We start from the raw sequence: 3746 nt of genomic DNA, 5'->3' as shown, positions 1-3746 counted from the left end.
TACTTGTGGGTTAAGGTGGGGGGATACAAGAGGAGGACGCAAAGGAGGCTTTGAATTGGGAAGAAGGGTGGCAATGAGATACAGCTGTAGTCCAGGAATAGTCAGGGAAGCAGATAATTTAGTTAAAGTGTCTCAGCCTAATAAGGGAACTGGGCAGGTGGGGATAATGAAAAAGGAGTGCTTAAAAGAGTATTGTCTAAGTTGGCACCAGAGTTGGGGAGTTTTAGGAGGTTTAGAAGCCTGGCCGTCAATACCCACAACAGTTATGGAGGCAAGGGAAACAGGTCCTTGAAAAGAAGATAATGTGGAGTGGGTAGCCTCCGTATTGATTAAGAAGGGGACGGGCTTACCTTCCACCGTGAGAGTTACCTGAAGCTCGGCGTCCGTGATGGTCTAGGGGGCTTCCAAGGTGATTGGGCAGTGTCATCTTCAGCCGCTAAGCCGAGAAGATCTGGGAAGGAGTCAGTCAGCCTTGGGCCAGAGTTCCAGGGGTTCTGGGAGTGGCTGTCAGGTGAGTTGAACAGTCCGATTTTCAGTGGGGTCCCACACAGATGGGACGTGGCTTAGGAGGAATCCCAGGCTGCGGGCATTCCTTGGCCCAGTGGCCAGATTTCTGGCATGTGTAGCAAGCTCCTGGGGGAGGAGGTTCTGGAGGAATACCTGGCCACTGCGGTTCAGGCATTTGGAAGTTCTTGTGTGCTGGAGATGTGGCTGGGGTTTGTCTCACAGTGGAGGCAAGGAATTGCAACTGTTTTCTGTTATTGTACACCTTGAAGGTGAGGTTAATTAAGTCCTGTTGTGGGGTTTGAGGGCCAGATTCCAATTTCTGGAGTTTTATTTAATGTCGGGAGCAGATTGGGTAATAAAATGTATATTGAGAATAAGACGCCCTTTTGACCTTTTAGGGTCTAGGGCTGTAAAGCATCTCAGGGTTGCTGCCGAACGAGCCATGAACGGGGCTGGATTTTTATATTTGATGAAAAAGAGCCTAAACACTATCTGATTTGGGATAAAGAAAAGGGAGCATTAACCTTGACTATGCCTTTAGCTCCAGCCACCTTTTTAAGAGTAAATTGCTGGGCAGGAGGGGGAGGGCTAGTCATGGAACGAAACTGTAAGCCGGACCAGGTGTGAAGAGGGGAGTTGATAAAAAGATTATAGGGTGGAGGAGCAGAGGCTGTGGAAGAATTGGGACCTAGCTCCGCCTGGAGAGGAGCAGCCTGGGGAGGAAGGGAGAGGTCAGATGGGTCTGTAGAAAAGGAAGATTAGAAAGACTCAGTGACGCTTGGGGTTGGTACTGAGGGGACAGGCAGGAGGGAAAGAAGGAAGATTTGGGACAAGTTGCACTGGGCACAGAGACTAGGAAGGGACTGATGTGTAAAAGAATGCCTGGACATCAGGCATCTCAGACCGTTTGCCTATTTTACGACAAGAATTATTTAGATTTTGCAGGATGGAAAAATTCAAAGTGCCATTTTCTGGCTACTTGGAACTACTGTCGAGTTTGTACTGGGGTCAAGTGGCATTGCAGAAGAAAATAAGGCATTTACGTTTTAGGTCAGGTGTGAGTTGAAGAGGTTTTAAGTTTTTGAGAACACAGGCTAAGGGAGTAGAAGGAGGAATGGAGGGTGGAAGTTTGCCCATAGTGAAGGAAGCAAGTCTAGAGAAAAGAGAGAATAGAGAAATGGAGGGAAGGGGTTCGGGGGTTCTTACCTTCCAGAAAAGTGGGAAAGGGGTTGGAGCGCAGAGATAAGAGGTCGGGGAGTGGAAATAAGGGATTGGGGTGCAGAGATACGAGGTTGGGCCATGGAAATAAGGGATTGGGGCACAGAGAGAGGTTGGGGTGCGGAAATAAGGGATTGGGACACAGAGATAAGAGGTTGGGGTGTGGAAATAAGGGATTGGGGCACAGACATAAGAGGTCAGGGTGCAGAAATAAGGGATTGGGGCACAGAGATAAGAGGTTGGGGCATGGAAATAAGGGATTGGGGCACAGAGATAAGAGGTTGGGGCATGGAAATAAGGGACTGGGGATTCTTGCCCCATAGAAAAGCGGGACTTGCCACTAAGGGTGAAGGAGAAGGGGTTGAGGGGTACTGCCCCTCTCCCAGAAAAGCAGAGAAGGGGTAGAGACAAGGAGAGAAGGGGTTGGGGTACTTGTCCCTTCCCCAGAAAAGCAGGACTTGCCGCTAAAGGTGAAGGACCAAGGCAGGCGTCCCTGCGTGGTCTGACACCCTTGAAATGTGGGTGTATAATCAGAGAGGCATCCCTGCAATGAATAAACACCAAGGGAAGGCTGCCTTCCCAGTGCGTGACCGGTGCCGGAGTTTTGGGTCCACAGATAAAACATGTCTCCTTTGTCTCTCCCAGAAAATGAAAGGAATTGAAATTAAGAGAAGGGAGAGATTGAAGAGTGGAAAGGAGAAAGTGGTTGAGGGACAGTGAGAGAGGTTGGAGAAGAGAGTAAGAAGAGGCCACTTACCTGATTTAAAATTGGTGAGATGTTCCTTGGGCTGGTTGGTCTGAGGACCTGAGGTCATAGGTAGATCTTTCTCAGGGAGCAAAGAACAGGAGTACAGGGGGTTGATCTCCCAAGGGAGGTCCCCCAATCTGAGTCACGGCACCAAATTTCATGCCCGTGCGTGTGAAGAGACCACCAAACAGGCTTTGTGTGAGCAACATGGCTGTGTATTTCACTGGGTGCAGGCGGGCTGAGTCCGAAAAGAGAGTCAGCGAAGGGAGATAAGGGTGGCGCCGTTTTATAGGATTTGGGTAGGTAAAGGAAAATTACAGTCAAAGGGGGTTTGTTCTCTGGCGGGCAGGAGTGGGGGTCGCAAGGTGCTCGGTGGGGGTGCTTTTTGAGCCAGGATGAGCCAGGAAAAGGACTTTCACAAGGTAATGTCATCAGTTAAGTCAAGGACCGGCCATTTACACTTCTGTTGTGGTGGAATGTCATCAGTTAAGGTGGGGCAGGGCATATTCACTTCTTTTGTGATTCTTCAGTTACTTCAGGCCATCTGGGCGTATACGTGCAAGTCACAGGGGATGCGATGGCTTGGCATGGGCTCAGAGGCCTGACAAATATCATATTTACAACCATTATAAAATTAAAGTGCAACTGTCCTTTGACTTGGAAATTTCTCTTCTAGTCTTTAATGTACAGGTATATTCACACATGTAAAATTTATGTATGGACAAGGCCTTGCAGGATTAAAAAAAAAAACTAGTAGAAAAAAATTTTTAAGTACTTATATTAGGAAATGTTTAAATCCATTATGACACATTCAGTTAGTAGCAGGTGTTGAGAGGGATGAGATAAGTCTTTGGCACTAACATTGAAACAGCTCCAAAATAGATATTCAGTGAAAAAAAAAATCAAGAGAAAGGGTGCTGTGCTTAGGAGGCTACTATGTGTAGGAATTTTCACTTCCACGGTCTTCTCAGGTAAGTATAGAATATCCATTTCTGGGGGAATCCTCAAGCAGTGGGTAACAGTGCTCACCTCTCAGGTAAAGTTGTGAAAAGGTGATTGGAGAGAAACTTACATCCAACTGCAGAACATTTTATCTAAATTTCTGTACCATTTGCACATATTACTTATTCAAATTATGAATGCAATTTGAAAGATAATGACATAATAGCAAACACTCAGCACTTATTATATGCCAGGCATTAGATGCATTGATTTGTATCATCCCCACAGCAGTGTTATGAGGTAGGTATAATTAATATGGATAATAAAAAAA

At 46.7% G+C, this 3746-nt stretch overlaps 1 annotated feature.

The window, feature by feature from the left end:
* Window positions 2615-3186: an enhancer, noted in NCBI's record as "OCT4-NANOG-H3K27ac hESC enhancer chr21:42326589-42327160 (GRCh37/hg19 assembly coordinates)". NCBI's record gives its function as "activates a minimal SCP1, AML or CMV promoter by ChIP-STARR-seq in naive H9 embryonic stem cells {active_cell/tissue: H9 hESC(naive)}" and the evidence as "EXISTENCE:reporter gene assay evidence [ECO:0000049][PMID:30033119]".

Source organism: Homo sapiens, chromosome 21 (genome assembly GCF_000001405.40).
Source record: "Homo sapiens chromosome 21, GRCh38.p14 Primary Assembly".
NCBI classification, from domain to species: domain Eukaryota; kingdom Metazoa; phylum Chordata; class Mammalia; order Primates; family Hominidae; genus Homo; species Homo sapiens.
This window is presented reverse-complemented; position numbering and strand designations above follow the sequence as displayed.